Here is an 18,928-nt window from a genome sequence, read left to right as displayed (position 1 = left end):
GACCATCTGCTTGAATGAGCAACAGGAAAACTGTCTAATTCTATTCGATGATAATTTCTTGAGAATTTGAGTTGACATAACATTGAGAAAGCCTATTTTTATTTCCTGAAACAATTTATCTCTGTATATGTTTGCTAAAAGTGCTTTTCCTGTCTCTAAATAACTGTTTTAAGATATAGTTTCAGTCTGAATAGAAAAACTGCAACTCAAACCATCATGCTTAAAATTTTTAATTTAGACTTGGGGACTGCCTAGCCCATCCTTTGACACCCTACAATGTAGAACCTCTTAATAAATAAACCACTCTTGAGTACTGCATTGGGTAACTTTTGAAGATGCATGAATTACTGAAAGCTAGTAGAATGAGATTTAGTAAAAATGGATACTAATTTAGTAGAAAGTGCCTGCTTATACTATAGATTATTGCTGCTACAAAGATAATGACACATTTTCTGCTAGTGTTTTATTAATGTCCATTCTGATTAAATGAACATTAGTCATAAACTAATTCAAAGACAAAGACATGACTGTTACTTGCATAAATGCAACCATGGCTATGGTAATGGTAAATGTGAATGCCCAGTAAATGCCATGACATTCAAATTTCATAAATTGGAGCCATGGGAAATACAGTAGGTAGTTCTCAAGTAATGAAGAACCTGTTCTAGGAAATAAAGAGATTTAAGTGTAAGCCCATGATATAGTCCAGATATCTATCCCCTCCACATTTTATGTTGAAATGTTTCCCAATGTTGGGGGTAGGCCTGGTGGTAAGTGTTTGGGTCATGGGGGTGGTCCCTCATGAATGGCTTGGTGTCCTCCCTGTGGGAATGAGTTCATGCACTGAGTTGTTTTAAAGAGCCTGGCACCTATTCCCTTCTCTCTCTTGCTCTCTGTTGCCATGTGATATGCCTGCTCCCCCTTCGCCTTCCACCATGATTGTGAGCTTCCTGAGGCCCTTACCAGAAATGGATGCCAGTATCACACTTCCTGTGCAGCCTGCAGAACCGTGAGCCAAATAAACCTCTTTTCTTTATGAATTACCCAGTCTCAGGTATGCCTTTTTTAAATTTTTATTTTTCCATAAGTTATTGGGTTACAGGTGGTATTTGGTTACATGAGTAAGTTCTTTAGTGGTGATTTGTGAGATCCTGGCGCACCCATCACCCGAGCAGTATACACTGCACCATATATGTGTCTTTTATCGCTTGTCCCCCTCCCACTCTTCCTCCCAAGTCCCCAGTGTCCATTTGTCACATTCTTATGCCTTTGTGTCCTCATAGCTTAGCTGCCACATATCAGTGAGAACATACAATATTTGATTTTCCATTCCTGAGTTAATTTACCTAGAATAATAGTCTTCAATCTCATCCAGGTCATTGCAAATGCTGTTAATACATTCCTTTTTATGGCTGAGTAGTATTCCATTATATATATATGATGTGTATATATATGATATGATATAAGATATATATGATATGATATGGGATTTTATATATATATATATATATATATATATATATATCACAGTCTCTTTATCCACTCGTTGATTGATGGGCATTTAGATTGGTTTCACGATTTTGAAATTGTGAATTGTCTGCTATAAACATGTGTGTGCAAGTATCTTTTTCGAATAATGACTTCTTTTCCTCTGGGGTAGATACCCAGTAGTGGGATTGCTGGATCAAATGGTAGTTCTACTTTTAGTTCTTTAAGGAATCTCCACACTATTTTCCACAGTGGCTGTGCTAGTTTACATTCCCACCAGCAGTGTAGAAATGTTCCCTGATCGCCACATCCATGCCAATGTCTACTGGTTTTTGATTTTTTTATTATGGCCATTTTTGCAGGAGTAAGGTGGTATCACATTGTGTTTCATTTCACATTTCCCTGATCATTAGTGATGTTGAGCATTTTTTCATATGTTTGGTGGCCATTTGTATATCTTCTTTTGAGAATTGTCTATTCGTGTCCTTAGCCCACTCTTTGATGGGATTGTTTGTTTTTTTCTTACTGATTTGTTTGAGTTCATTGTAGATTTTGGATATTAGTCCCTTGTCAGATATGCAGGAACAGTCAGCAGAGTAAAGAGCCAACCCACAAACTGGGAGAAAATCTTCACGATCTATACATCTGACAAAGCTATTCCTTTATAGAAATGCAAACAGACTAACACAGTTCATTTTCCTACCTAACCTGCTTTTAGTATATGAAGTTTTAGTATACATACTTAGTATATAAAGTTTTAACACCTACTCACAGTACTTGCTATTGACATTATAGTTAAAATTAGACTTCACCAAACTTATAACAGCTTATGACGTTGTGGTAAACAACCCTTAATTCTGAAATGACTTAAGTGTTTTCTGATCAAGGTTTTTGTCGTTTAAAACTGCCAGTTACCCTAGGTAAATATGCACATTAAGAATGGTATAAAACATTTTTACTATGAAATGGAGTATTTAAACAATTTTCTTATTAATACTTTAAACAAATCTTGATACAATACAAATTGTATTAATGTGACAATGTTAATAGATTTTCTCTTGTGCCGTAACTATCCATTCTATAAATATACTTTCTCTCTGACATCTTCTGTATCCACAAATTGTATACTTCCTGGGTTACATTTGACATATGACAATGCTATAGCAATATTTGCAATTTAAGAGGAAGTTGCAAATAATATTTCAAGCAAATGTGTAGATGGGCTATATAGCCTATACTAAGATGGTCTTAGCTTATGAAAAGGGATTAAATACAAGCTTTGGAAGATGCTTCATTTTAAGCACTGTATTTACAGGGTAAAGTTGTAGGATATCATGAGCACATTGGTGGACTGATATTTTTACTTCAAATTCTTGTTTCACAGTGACACTTCAGCTTAAGCTTCTATTATCAAGAGTTTACTTATTATCTTATTCCACTTAGAGAATAGTGGTGTGGCTACTTGGAGAAGAGAAGACTTGCAGGCAACTCTTAAGCAGAACTCAAGGACTTCAGAAAGGATGAGCATAAGTGCTGAAGAAGGTTCAGTCCACACTCGGAGCTCTTCACCAAAGATTTCTGTGTTATTTAGAGATTGCTATTCAGACAACTTCCTTTGGCTTGTATATGCCCACTCCCAATGTCAAATGCACTGTTACCCTTCCTGGATGCAGCCAGGAAGCAACTCTCAGACCACAGATGCTTCTAAAAGGCCCAGGATGAGGCTGGGTCCTTGTAATACAGTAGAGAGGTCAAAAGAAAATGTGGAATAGGGGCGGCCAAAAGACTCATAGGCTCCCATCTACAGCAGTCTCTGTAATGTTTGTTTCTTTGAAATATCCCACCCCACAGAATTTATCACTCACTCTGTTTACTTCAAACTTCTTTTTTAAGAAAACTGTCTGAGTTTTAGCCTCCAATTACTGATTTCCCTTCATTACTGAGTAATTTAGTTTTGTATTGAATAGCTCTTGATTTTTCCTGACCAATGTCTTTATTTTCTTCTTTAATTTAACCTCAATATTTCTTTGGGTAACTATACCATCTGGTCATAGAATATAGATGTCAATCAAGATAGTCTTCTTTCCTTCAGTCTAGTCAAATGAAAACAACTCAGTTCTGCAGACGACCATGCTGTTTCTTGTGTCTTCATCCTTACACTCCTCTGCTCTCTTTGTTTCTTCTATTGGTATATTAATATCTCAATATCTAGCTAAAATGTCACCTACCTACTATGTTATTAAATCTTCCACAGTTTGCTCCCCCCTCCCATGACCACACTTGTAAATGCAAATGAATTACTCTTTTCTCAGTAATCCTTAGGTGTGATGTATGTAATTATATTATAGTCTTGCCTTGTTGCATTGTTTAGTTTTGAGGTTAGGACTCTCTCAAAATCATGAGCTTCTTCTTAGTAGGGCCTGTATATATAGCCCTAGTGTCTTATAGTGTCTTACATGGTTGGATCTCAGTAAAGCCTTCTTATTTTATTAACTGATTAGCAAGTTGGACTACATGATCTCTAAGGTGTCTTTCAACTCAGTGTTAAGTGATTCTATTGAAGATGTGAGAATCTGGCTGTGAAAGAGTAATTAGACTGGCTATGTGAGCACTGAGGGAGAACTCTTATTCCAGGTCTCTTTAGACCAGTTCAATTTCTCCAAAACAATGAAATAAACTTTTCCAGCAACAATGAAGGAAATAGTATTTCTTGTTGGTTAAAAAATATCCTAAACTCAAGCAGGGACAACATCTTATGCATCTCTGCTTCTCTCCCAACCAAGAATCACAGTACCCAGTATGTTGTGTATGTTTAGTAAATAATTATTGAAAAACTTAGTTATTTTCATTTCTTCAAAATTATCTCTCTGTGGAAAAAATAGTTTTGTAGAACTGATATTTTATCTATTGAAAGGTATAATTGAAATACCTCTGGAATACACTTGCAAAAATGTTTGGTAAATAAATATAGGCATGTTGTATGAATGTTTTAGCATATTTCAACTTTGAGAATGAAATTCTGGAATTCCTAGGACATATAAAACACTGTTTATTCTAAGCCTTCTCCAATTGCCATTAGTTTGTATCTCTTTTTATATATGGGTTTTAACTTAAATATATGGATAGTGTGATCTAGTATATATGTTCCATTATTTGCCTTTCCTGTTTCCCACTGTCAGCCCTCCATCTCCCAGTTGAGGCCATCATCACACCATATCTGGATATTTATGGTTCCCCTCGATGCTTTTCCTCTATTCTAACTATTCCCCTTCTAATCTTACATTCTTACTTAAACGATTCATAAACTTCTCCTTAAATCAGAAAGCCCTTTTAAAAGTTTTCCATAAAAAAATCAAAATTGATAAATTGATGAATTACCTGATAAATAAGGTAATTTACCTTATGCTCAATATTGTGACATGAAGTGGATTGTTTGATCAACTAAGACTGAATGCACTTGGTAAAGACAATAGAGCCAGATGACAAAAAACAGATAAACAAATAAGAAACAACCCATTAAGTCATCCCAAAATGTCAATTCCTTAGAGTTGTTTTCTTTTGTTTGTTGTTTCATTTTGTTTTGTGTGTTTTGCATTCCAGGTGAAGAAGGTGTGGAGAATATCAGTTTCTAGAATAACATCCTGATTCACCAGAAAACTGAAATTTTTATTTTATGTTGATTGATTGATATAATTGTTGAATTTTCATATCTGTTTTATCATCATTTTAGAAAAGAAAAAATACAGTTTCTAAGAATTCTAGTGTTTATTTACAAAATTTTAAACTATTAACATGGTTCAGAGTACTTGTCGAAAATCTCTATGAAAGCTCTTTATCTTGCTTTGTTTATATTTCTATAATGAGATTTATTGCCTATTCCATTAAATATTATTTTAAAACATTTTTTCCACTGCTGCATTGTATTCCTTATATGTAAATACTATTATTTATTTCAACATTCCCCTATCATCTGACTTTTTCATTTCTTATTAAGAAAATAATAATTTTATGAAAACACTTATACAGAAATATGTGTTGGCATCTCTAAATATTTATGACACATTTCTATGGGCAAGAACTCTACATTAACACTTTGAGATTCATCATCATATTGATGATGATGCCAAATAGATGTATAGATACGTAATACCAATTTGTAGCTCCAGTGGTGCAATCAATTAGCATGTGGTACTTATAAGAAATGCAATACAGATTACATTTCTACACAGAGTTATGAGAATAACATTTTCAATTTGTTATCTTTTTTATTCTTTCAATCTTAATATATGATCAATCATATCTTATTGTTATTATAATTTTTATTTCTTTGAGTATTAGTATAACAGAATATTGTTTATATTGTTTAATGACTATGTGTATGCTTTGTCAGGGTTTCCTTCCTTGTTATATCTCCAGGGCCTAAAACAACCTGACACATAGTAGGACATGAACATACTTTAATTTGTTATTAACTGTATTTTATATCTTAATTTATTTTCAATTGTATTGTATTCCTAATGTATAAAAAACTCAGACACTGACATATTTAGCACCAGATTTAATAGTTGTTGACTTTGTTTATTGCTTAGATTTTCCTTTTTTATATTTATTTTATTTTATTTTTTTTTTTTGAGACAGAGCTTTGCTCTGTCGCCCAGACTAGGGTGTGGTGGCATGATCTCAGCTCACTGCAACCTCAGCCTCCCAAGTTCAAGCCATTCTCCTGCCCAAGCCTCCGAAGTAGCTGGGACTGCAGATGTGTGCCACCACACCTGGCTAATTTTTGTATTTTTAGTCGAGACAGGGTTTCACCATGTTGGCCAGGCTGGTCTCTAACTCCTGACCTGAAGTGATCCACCCACTTCAGCCTCCCAAACTGCTGGGATTACAGGGATGAGCCACTGTGCCAGGCCCAGATTTTTCTTTTTTAACTGATCCATTATATTTTACATTTTTATGGGTAAATGTGGGTATTTGTTACATGCTTAGAATGTAGTAATATAATGTATTAATATAATGATCAAGTCAAGGTATTTAGGGTAACCATCACTTTGAGTATTTAGTGTTTCTGTGTGATGGGAACATTTCAAGTTCTCTCTTCTAGCCACTTTCATATACAATACATCATTGCCAACCAGTCACCCTACTCTGCTATTGAACATTAAACTTATTTCTTTGAGGCCGAGTGCAGTGGGTCATGCCTGGTAATCCCACCAGGTTGGGAGGCTGAGGCAGGAAGATCACTTGAGGCCAGGAGTTTGAGATCAGCTTGGCCAACATGATGAAACCTCGTCTCTACTAAAAATATAAAAAATTAGCTGGGCATGGTGGTTGGCACCTGTAATCCCAGCTACTCGGGAGACTGAAGCATGAGAATCACTTGATCCCGGGAGGTGGAGCTGAGATTGTGCCACTGCATTCCAGCTTGGGCAACAGAGTGAAGCTCTGTCTCAAAAAAAAAATCATCTAACTTTATGTTTATATTCACTGACCAACCTCTCTTCATCCACTCCTCAACCCACACACTCTTCACAGCCTCTGGTATCTATCATTCTATTCTCTACCTCCATGAGATGAATTATTTTAGCTCTGATATATGCATGAGAACATGCATTATTTGTCTTCCTGTGCCTGAATTATTTCACTTAATATAATGACCTTCAGTTCCATTCATGTTGCTGCAAATGACAAGATGTCATTCTTATGGTCAAATGGTCATCCACTGTGAACATATACCCCATTTTCTTTATTCATTCACCCATTGATGGATACTTGGATTAATTTCATATCTTTGTTATTGTGAATAGTGCTACGAGAAACATGTAAGTGCTGATATCCCTTTGATATACTATTTTTTTCCTTTGAATAAATACTCAGTAATGGGATTGCTGGGTCGTATGGTAGTTCTATTTTTAGATTTTTGAGGAATCTTCATATTGTTTTCCATAGTGGTTGTACTAATTTACATTCCCACCAATGATGAAAGAGTTCTCTTTTCATCCTTGCCAGCATCTGTTGTTTTGTCTTTTAAATAATAACCATTATAACTGTGGTAATATTATATCTCATTGTGGTTTTGATTTGCATTTCCCTGATGACTGGTGATGTTGAGCATTTTTTTTCATATACCTTGTATTATTTCATTTTCACATTACTGATAAAGACATATCCAAAACTGGGAACACAAAAAAAGATTTAATTGGACTTGCAGCTCCACATGGCTGCGGAGGCCTCAGAATGATGAGGGGAGGTGAAAAGCTTATCTTACATGGCAGTGGCAAGAGAAAATGAGGAAGAAGCAAAAGCGGAAACCCCTGGAAAAGCATCAGATCTAGTGAGACTTATTCACTATCACCAGAATAGCATGGGAAAGACCGGCCCCCATGATTCAAATACCTCCCCCGGTTCCCTCCCACGACACGTGGGAATTCTGGGAGATACAATTCGAATTGAGATTTCAGTGGGGACACAGACAAAACATATCATACTTGTTGGCCATTTTTATGTTTTCTTTTGAGAAATTATGCGTGTCCTGTGTCCACTTTTTTGTACTGTTGAGTTGTTCAAGTTCCTTGTATATTCTGGATATTAGTCCCATGTTGGATAAATAATTTGCAAACATTTTCTTACATTCAACAGGATACCTATTCATTCTACTGAATGTTTCTTTTGTGTGCAGAAGCTTTTTATGTTTCATATAGTCCTATTTGTCTATTTTTGTTCTTGTTGCTTGTGCTTTTGAGGTCATAGCTGTAAAACCTTTGCCTAGACCATTGTTCTGAAGTATTTTCCCTGTTTTCTTCTAGTAGTTTTACAGTTTCAGGTCTCATGTTTAAATATTTAATCCATCTTGAGTTGATTTTTGCATATGGTGAGAGATAGGGGTCTTGTTTTATTCATCTGCATATAGATATCCAATTTTCTCAGCACCATTTATTGAAGAGACTGTCTTTTGCCCATTGGATGTTCTTGGCACCTTTGTCAAGTATCTATTAGCTGCAAATACATGCATTTATTTCTAGATTCTCTATTATGTTCTATTGGTCTATATGTCTGTTTTTGTACTAATGCCATGCTGCTTTGGTTACTATGACCTAGCGATATATTTTAAAGTCAGATAGTTTGATGCCTTCAGCTTTATTCTTTTTACTTGAGATTGCTTTGGCTCTTTGGGGTATTTTGTGATTTGCTTGGGGCCTACTGTTCTTGAATCTGAACATTATCTGTCAGGAAATCTAGAAATTTCTTTGCCATCATATATTTGAATATTGCTCCTCCCAGATTTTATGTTCTTTTTCTAGAATTCCTATTCATAATATAATAGACCTCATGTTATACCATCTCTTAAATTTTCTAGCTTATTTCACATTTCTTTATTTCTTTGTACTTTGTTGTAAATTATTCCCACAGATATAAATAGAATTTTTTACATTATTTCTTCAGTTATATCTGTTTATGCTATCTACAGAGTTTTTCATTTCACTTATTTTATTTTCATTTCTATATTTTCAAGTTGGTTTGTTTTTAAATGTACATGTTCTTTACTTTAGTGCCTATTCTTTTCTTACAGCTTCCAGTTTTTCTTTTAGACCTTATTTATTTTCTAGTTTATTTTGAATAATATTTACATTAGCTCAAGTTCTTGGGCTGCTCAGTCTTTAATTTGTTGGTTTTGCACTCTTGCTCATGGTGGATTTCTTACTCATGTGATTTGTCATTTTTAGTCATGAGCTTTATTTTCAGTAGTGATGGTGATTGTGCAGCTGTGTGAATCCCCGGTACTTAGCATTATGAGTGAGTCCTTCCAGTTGTCAAAGGAGCATGACTATGACTCTCACAGGAATAGTTTTCATGATTATTTCTTAGAGTGAAAAATACCTCTTTTCTAGAAAAAGTATCAAGGGAAGCTTTTGTGTTTTTTTTGTTTGTTTTCACCAGCAGCCCAGGCAGAGATAAGCTTTTTCTTGGTGGTTTTTTGTTTGTTTTGGTTTTTTTTGTCATGTTTCTTTTTCTCTGTTAGCAGATACTTTTTCTCTAATTCTTTTTTCCAGTGAGAGTGCAAGCTTTAGAAGATGATGTAGCAATTGAGCTGTCTAGAATCCAATTGTTCACTTTGTATGGATCCATGCTTTTGTTTCCTGTACATTAAATGTGCGACTAAAACCCAAGTCGCTAACTATTGCTAAGCGAGGCATTTGTTCTACCACACTAGTAAGCCAGGTGTGGCATAGATTCACCAACATATTTACCCACCTTTTCCCTGATATATGAAGATTTCTGATTCTCTTTTTTCTTTTATTTCCCCCCTTTTCTTTGTGGTTTCTTTCGTGTGTGTATGGGAGCCCAGTTATACATTTAAACACTTTATTTTATACATCATTCCTCTTGTGGCAGAACATTTTCTCCATTAATAAGACTGTCATTTTTTCAGAGCTGAAAGTGTTAAAATTAGTATGTTTATGGTGATTTTAGTGTATAGACATTTTTATATGTATATATGTATGTGTGTATATATATATATATATATATATATATATATATATATATACACACACACACCCACACACAAATCTATATGTCTTTTCCAAAAAGAATCCTTATTTTTTTCTTTACAGGTCAATTTTCAAGATGAGATGAAATAATCTCCTATAAATTCTACTTGTGTAACTGCATTTTTATAAAATACATTTTAGTCTATGTGTGCTTATATGGTCAGAACTGAAGCTCAAAATGTTTCTCAATGTAAGCCAAGTGTCACAGTACCATTTATTAAATAACATTTTTTCCTACTCATTTTAAGAACATTTACATCAGAAACTAAATGTTTACAATGAGATTTGTATAAATGATTTTGAAATTATTAGTAGAATTTAATGAATTATTATAAATATGAAATATTAATTACTACTTTATTAGAAAAAACTCCATTATAATGTTTTTAGGTTAACATCTTGTCTTCTCTGTCTTATGTTTCAAAGTATTACAAGTGACCTTTAATAAGTGCTAGGCTTTGATTTGAATATGTTGATGAAATCACTTGGTCTGCAAGATGTTTGATAGAAAAATGAAACCTTAAACTACCGACCATGTTTGAACAGATGATGTTTTTCTGTCTATCGCATCAATATTCATTAAACAGAAGTATGTGCCCAAAGTTCAGGTATGAATAAAAATGAAAAGGATTTTCTGAGTGCTTTCACGTTAATCTCCATTTGGTCATCGTTTCTCAACATCATTATGATTTGTACTTTGTTCTTCAACACAAAAGAAGCAATTAAAATATTACAAAGCCCCATGAACTCTAAAGAACTTTTGTTCTCATTACTAGTCATTTTTAAACTAGAATTTTGTAGTTAGCTTTACAAACTTGCGTAATTGACTAATCCTAAGAACTTGTTCTATGCATTCTATTTTCATCCTTCCCATCTCCCTAATTTTTCTCTCCAAATTACGAATATCAAGCACAAATAGAGCAGATACTATAAGTAATAATTTAAGAATACAAAACCAAAATACTTTATGATATTTTCCTTTATACCATCTCTATTACAATAAACTGAATTTTCTGTATGGTATATTTTTCTTTTGCATATGGCACATATGAAACATGAACACTATTTTCTCCCGCACATGTACCGTGTGCATGTTCCTACCTACCATGACACACACATGGGCCTTTTAGATTTATGGTAAATGGTCAATCTTTCTCAGTCTCTGCACCTTTCTTCCCTGGACCCCCTCTTCTCTTCCTTATCCTTTTCTTTCCCCTCACCATCTCCAGTCTATTTAATCCCTTGAAAGTATATAGAGTTAAAGTAAGACAAGTTAAGGTACGTGTTTATTTCACTGTGTATTAACTAGTCAATACACAGGCTTATTAAGAGGGAATGTATTTTAGAAAACATTGTCATGTGTTTTTATATTTTGTAAATATTATCAACTTTTTAACTATTAATCATTTGTAACTTCTGAATCAGTTTTTCAATTTTTCATTAGAAGAATAATAACTATTTATTATGGCATGTAATGTGCTTAAAAATAATCTTACTTCATAGGATGAAGTAATTAGAAGATTCTAGTCACTTCTGACTTTATAGTTCCTTACCTGACTTCATGAAAACTCACTTTTTAATGTTCGCTTATCTGTAGTATCTTAATAATATCAATGTCATTGATTTAATTTATTTTATGCATTTAAATATATTGTCTACAAACATTTTCAGGTCAGCTGTTTTACTCAGATTGATTATTTATCATCCTTTAAAATTCAGAATTTAACTAACCTAGTTTTTAAAAAATTCTGTCAGAGCACTTTGTTTACATCCTACGTGTTCTCTGAGAACCGTGAGAAGAACAGCTTTAGCTGCAGAGACAGTTCCTGCAGGGCACAACGTGGCAATTTTCATTTGCAGAATCAATGTAGTATAAGGCAGGTGTCTCAGTGAGAGAAATTATAATTTTATTTACCTGTTATTGAATCTTTCAATTTTTCTTAATTAAACTTCCAGCCTCCTGTCAAAAGTAATGTTATTATATTTATTTTATTCAGAGCTTTATTATCTAGACAGCAATTAATCACATACACACACATATATACACACACATGCGTGCACATATATATACACACATATATTCATACCTACACATATACATGCATATTTCATTGCTATTTGGGACATAAGAAAGTATTCTCATATAAATTTTCTTTAATCTGTTCTCTCCATTTTCCCCTGCATAGAGGACAGCATATTTCACTTCCTCAGCATGACACTTAAGAATTAAGCTTGAGTTTATCACTACATTTAATTGCACAATAATTGTTCAGTTCCTGCACTGAAAGAATTTTAGTACTTGATAAAAAAGTATGTGGGAAGATTATGATTTTTGAATTAAATATAAACCAGCATATTGAATGTTTCTGTGATAGTAACACTATAAGAAACATATAGGAACGTGTTGTTTTTAAACCGATAAAAAGGTAAATGACAAATTTACAAACAATAATCTCTCCAACAATGTTGTGAAAATATAGGACAGAGATGAGCAGATAACTCGGAAAGCACTAAAATTATAACAATTTAAATAGCATATGATAGAATAACAATGTATTTTAAAGTACATTGTACAAATATGTCACAAAGTACATGTTCAATAAACATTAACTGAATCTGATTTTGATTTTGAATTCAGAAAGAACTATCTTATTATAAAAGAAACAATTTTCTTTTCACTAAAGAGTACTGCATTCTTAATTACTAAATAATTAATCACTAAATAATCAAAAAGAGTACTGCATTCCTATGCTACATGCCAGGAACAGCCTTAAGCACTAAGTAATGTCCCCCAGTCACTGGGATTTTTCAATTCATTTAGTTATGCTGCCATTTATTTCTCTCACATCCATCAAACCACTCATTTTTTTCCTGCTTGAATCATAAATCAAGTAAGATTCAGCCACATCTACTCTCCTTAGTGATTCAGAATAACAATGATTTATGAAAATTTAATTTATTAGATACCCAGTTTCTCGACGGAAGGAACAAAAATTTATAAGCACTTCATCTGCCTATTACATTTCTGAATATTAAGTAGGGAAAAAGACAGCATAAATTATACTTTGAAACATAGTAGTTAAAAAATAAACAAGGATAGGCAGAAATTGTATAAACAATTTATGGTAGAATAGAGAGTCTTAAAGCAGAACATGGGATGAATCTGTCTTCTGAAAGCCTTCTAATTCTTCATTGTGATATATGGTAAGTTTTGCCTACCTTCACTTTTATGAAATTGTTTTACCAAATTTTGTGGATTGTAGAGACATGACTGAGTCTCTATATCCTTAAACAATCCTGATAGGCTGAATTTTTTAGTTAACATAGTCCAGGCCCCCTCAACAACAAAACAAAACAAAACACTGGGAAATCCCAAATAATCAAATATACCTTTTGATCTCCATCAGAGGAAATGAAACACCTTTCTTCTTCCCGCTTTGTACCCCTGTTTACCTCATCTCCCTTCTGCAATCCCTACATTAGATTATCTTGTGTCATGAACTAAGCCATAGCCAGATGATTATAATTAAATAATCTTATTGCAGTAACTAAGAAAGCATTCTGCTTCTTTCATCTTTAGAGATGCCTAAATGAAAAAAGGTGGCAGACTCACTCAGCACAATGTCATTTAATTTGCAATGTTCTGTATTCATTTCTTATTACACCATATGATATCCTTGTGTCACCCAGTAAGACTACTAAAGAGCTAATCATTTTTTCTTTTATTTACACCATGGGCATAAGGAATGAAAATCTGACTTCTTATTCAAGTGCAATAGCAAACATATCTCTTGTGAAAGATTTACACACTCTAAAATGTACCTCTATGCATTATCTATTAATGTGGTCTAAGAAAATTCAGAGCAAAGAGATTTTCCAACTAAATTAACTCAGACACAGTGGTATATTGTTTGGACAAGGATGGATCTATTTAAGTGAGACAAATGATAAATCTACCCCTGAGCTATAGTACAACAGAGAGATAGCCCTTATGGGCGAGCATCATTTCTAAGTCAGCGTCTCACCTTGACATTTATTTGCCATAAGTTACAAGTTTACCCTTTAGACAGCATTAAGAGAGCATTCATCTTCAGCAAGGTTGCAAACCGTCAACATTATCTCTTCCTTGGGCAATAAAGAACCTTGATTTCTGTATATAAACTAATTTAAGCAAGGGCGATCTACATAATGTGTACATTCATTGTTGTTTTCACTATCAATAAAGAGCCCAACATGGCATGCATGACTGATATGTGCCTTAAATAATGTCTGCTTCCAGTGTGGCAGAGTCCCTTTTTAAACCATATGGCTGAGTAACCTTTTCTTAATAAACTACTTTGAGTAAAACTTATCATCTTTTCAAAGGTTATGAGTTGTGGAAATACAACATTTTACTGCCACTTAAGCTAACTGAATAAATTAATTTAGATTCATTTTCACTTTCTTATTGTAATGGAAGCCCCCATCTTAATTCCTTTGTCTTTATATCATATGTGTGTGTGCGTGTGTGTGTGTGTGTATGAATTATCCACAACTTGTAATCAGTTCAAAGTAATTTGAATTGCAAGTTGGTGGAAATAACAATTATTAGCATCAATTGAACACATTATTGAATGGGGTTATTCAGCATTTCCAGTCTATTGCTCTGCAAGGAATAATGCCCATATCATTCATGTACTATAGCGCAATACTAATACAGGATTGTACAGAGATACAGTTGAAAAGATCATCACGTCATTGAGAATCAGCTTTCTTTCCATGTTTTCTCTCTGAATCTATGTGACAAACAAAAAGTCTACATATGAAGATACACAGATGAGATACAGAACTAGACTTAGACAAATATCAATATCTATATAGATTTTCCTTATATAATAGAGGACAGTATTAGGTAGCTTGCTCAGGCTTTAAGTGGCTTATATTACTACACCAGCTTCACCACTTACTGAATGACCTTTGGTAAGAATTTATCTCAGTTTCCCAGTCAGTAAACTAGTGCCTATATCACTAGGTTAATGTGAAAATAAAATGAGATAATACATATAAAGCACATAGACTAACTATGCATAAACAATAGTTAAAAAGTTTTGCAATTAGTAATTGCTAACATTTATTGAAAGCTTATTACATGCCAAGTATTGTTGTAAGTGGGTTTAATATTACTATTATCTCCATATTACAGATAAAATAACCCAAAACACTAAAGGGTAAAATTACTTGTCCATCAATGTATAGCCACTAAGGTATAAAGCTTGGGTTTATAGCCAGACAGTTTAATTACAGAATCTATCTCCATGCTGAATATATATACTGCTTCTGAACTCACAAAAAAAAAGTAGAAAAATTAGAAAACATAAATATGAAAAATAGAGGAAAAGAGGTTTTAATTTTATATATAACCCAGAGATAATTAGATTTGAATATTAATTCTTAATAGAATTTTTCTCTGGGGTTACATATTTTTCTCTTTTCTTTTTTTCTTTTTTTTTTTTTTGAGACAGAGTCTTGCTCTGTCGCCCAGGCTGGAGTGCAAGGGCGCCACCTCGGCTCACTGCAACCTCCGCCTCCCGAGTTCAAGCGATTCTCCAGGCCTCAGCCTCCCAAGCAGCTGGAATTACAGCCCGCCACCACGCCTGGCTAATTTTTGAATTTTTAGTAGAGACGGGGTTTTGTCATGCTGGCCAGGCTGGTCTCGATCTCCTGACCTCAGGTGATCCGCCCGCCTCGGTCTCCCAAAGTGCTGGGATTACAGGCATGAGCCACCGCGCCCAGCTATTTTTTTAAAATTATACTTTAAGTTCTGGGATACATGTGCAGAACGTGCAGGTTTGTTAAATAGGTATACACCTACTATGGTGGTTTGCCGCACCCATCAACCCGTCATCTACATTAGATATTTCTTCTAATGCTATCCCTCCACTAGCCCCCACTCCCAGACAGGCCCCGGTATATGAGGTTTCCCTCCCTGTGTCCATGTGTTCTCATTGTTCAGCTCCCACTTAGGAGTGAGAGCATGCGGTCTTTGGTTTTCTGTTCCTGCGTTAGTTTGCTGAGAACGATGGGTTTCCAGCTTCATCCATATCCCTGCAAAGGACATCAACTCATTCTTTTTTACGGCTGGATAGTATTCCATGGTGTATATGTGCCACTTATTCTTAATCCAGTCTATCATTGGTGGGCATTTGGGTTGGTTCCAAGTCTTTGCTATTGTGAATAGTACTGCAATAAACATACATGTGCATGTGTCTTTATATTAGTATGACAGGATTTTTTCTGGGGTTATATATATTTTTCTCAAGATGTGGTTTTTTTTGAAACTCAGAGTATTTAAAAAAATCAATCCTTTGCTTAATTTAAGAGGAAATACGGTGAATAAATCAGGCTAAAAACACCTGGCGAAGACTTCTTTTCTGCATATTTTCTTTTATCATCTTAGATTGAAGTAGAATTTTCTTCTTATTTATCTGGTAGTTTTCAAATTGAGCTACAATTTTCATTATTATCTAAGTGATTATAAATGAGCTCTAGAAACATACAGAATATGGCAGCTTAAAATGTCAATAGAAAATTTCTTAAGGTGCCAAAATAACAAAACAAAAGTAAAAATAAATAAATAAGCCTTTGGATAAGGTCAAATTTTAAAGTCTGAAATCATTAAAAATGCATGCAAAAAATGAACCACATGTTTAGCTCTTACATAAAATACTATGTATACCAAGGTCCAGCATAAATTTAAAAGATGAGACATTAAGAAAATTTTAATCATACAATGATCAGAGCAATGAAAATTAAAATTTTCAGTGTATTTGTAAAAGACACAAATGGATAATAAAATTGAATGGCCTTTAAATAAAAGGATAAAATATAGAATCTGTTAATTAACAAAACGATAAATACAGATAGCAAATATAAACCTGAAAACAGAGCATATCAGCAATCAAAAATGCAGATTAAAATATTAAAATATTATCCTATCAGATTAATAAGGCATATATATTTACACATTATTACTAACAATGAGAATGCCAGACAATTGTGGATTTTACACCACTAATGCTAGTGTAAGATGGTATAAGAGCATCAGTCATATTTTAAGGGTGTCTTCCAAGACAATGTTCTATCCCTCCTTGTCTACAAACATCTGAATGTATCCAGGACTATCCTACCCATTCATAAGTGTGGACCACTGGGAACCATCTTTATACTTCTGGAACTTACCAAAAAGTTATAGCCAATAAGAGTATTTCTCTCGGCCCAGCGCATGGCTCACATCTGTAATCCTAGCACTTTGGGAGGCCGAGGCGGGTGGATCTTTTGAGGTCAGGAGTTCGAGACCAGCCTGGCCAACATGGTGAAATCCCATCTGTACAAAAAATACAAAAATTAGCCAGGTATGGTGGCAAGCGCCTGTAATCCCAGCTACTTGGAAGGCTGAGGCAGAAGAATCTCTTGAACATGGGAGGCAGAGTTTGCAGTGAGCCAAGATCACGCCATTGCACTCCAGCCTGGGTGACAGAGTGAGACTCCCCAAAAAAAAAAAAAAAATTATCATAAATGTCGACTGAGAAGCTACAAGATAGTCTGTTTGCCTCCTTGAAAGTTTAAGGCATGATCTAGAGATTTTTGAGGTGAACATGGATGGAGAATCAGCCTAGGCTGTTCTATAGAGAAGGAAAAAAGTTTGAGACAAAAAAAAAAAAAAAAAGCAGGTAGGAGAGTCAGAGAGGTGTGCCCTCATTTTCTATTCAGTCTGTCTCTATGGCCTGACTTCCTTCTTTTCTGTGAGTGCCAAGAAACTCCTGTGTCTCCTGATAATAAACAATTCTTTTTGCTTGACTTACTCCTGATATTTTACATCAAAATCATAATATAATTAATTATTTGAAAATGCAAGTTAGTAATGTTTTCAAGATGTTAAAAGTTTGTAAGACTTAAGCTTAGTAATTCTACTTCTAAGAATCTATCTTAAAGGGGTACATTCCAGATAATCCTATAGATATATTGTATCGTAGAAGACTGTAATGGAAACATTTATTTCCTGGCTTTACCTCATTTTAACAGAACAGGTGTTTAATTTTTAAAAATGATTATGGAAGAAATTCTACGATTGCAATTTAAAACTTTTTAGATATCATGGTAAATAACTGGGAAAATTTTATATTGTTTGCTAGGCAGGTTTTATGGTACTTCATAAAGTATCTTCAGTATACTTCATAAAGTATATTTTTCACATACTTTACCAACATATTCCAATGACTTTATATAACAATAGTAAAATTATTAAGGGACATTTTCAAATTACATTTTCTATAAATATCATTTAGCTTAATTTTTAACATACATGATACCCAATAAACACACTTTTATTTAATTTTCTTAACAGAAACTCCAAATAGACATACTGAAAATCACCTTTTTGTATATGTGAAGTCTGAAAATGATCAGAATTCTGCAAGGGTATAATAATGCTTTTGATTACTTGAAACTTTCTCTCATTAGAAAAGACTAATAAAGCTTCAAAGATATAGAATTCAGAATGAAAAAATATGTCATTTTTAGAATAAATATTTTCATTCCATATCTAATGATTTAGGCAAGCTTTTACATATTTTCCTTCAAAATATCAGCTGCTTACTGACAAAGTGTTCAAGTTTTTGAAAATGTCTTATCAATATTAACATGAAATTTGATACAAAGCAACCAATTCCAAATTATCTTAAAACATTCCGTAGTACAAAATTAGTGTCTACTCACATCAATAATATCTATTCCTGTTCGCTTACTTCTATTTGCTATATTACCTTAATATACAATACATAAATAGTATTTTATTTACTCATTACATACTCATAAATCATGATCATTGTAAAGTTTTGATGCTGTTATTT

The sequence above is a fragment of the Homo sapiens genome, chromosome 3, assembly GCF_000001405.40.
Source record: "Homo sapiens chromosome 3, GRCh38.p14 Primary Assembly".
In the NCBI taxonomy this organism is placed as follows: Eukaryota; Metazoa; Chordata; class Mammalia; order Primates; family Hominidae; genus Homo; species Homo sapiens.
The sequence above is the reverse complement of the archived record's forward strand: the minus strand, read 5'-3'. Positions refer to the sequence as shown.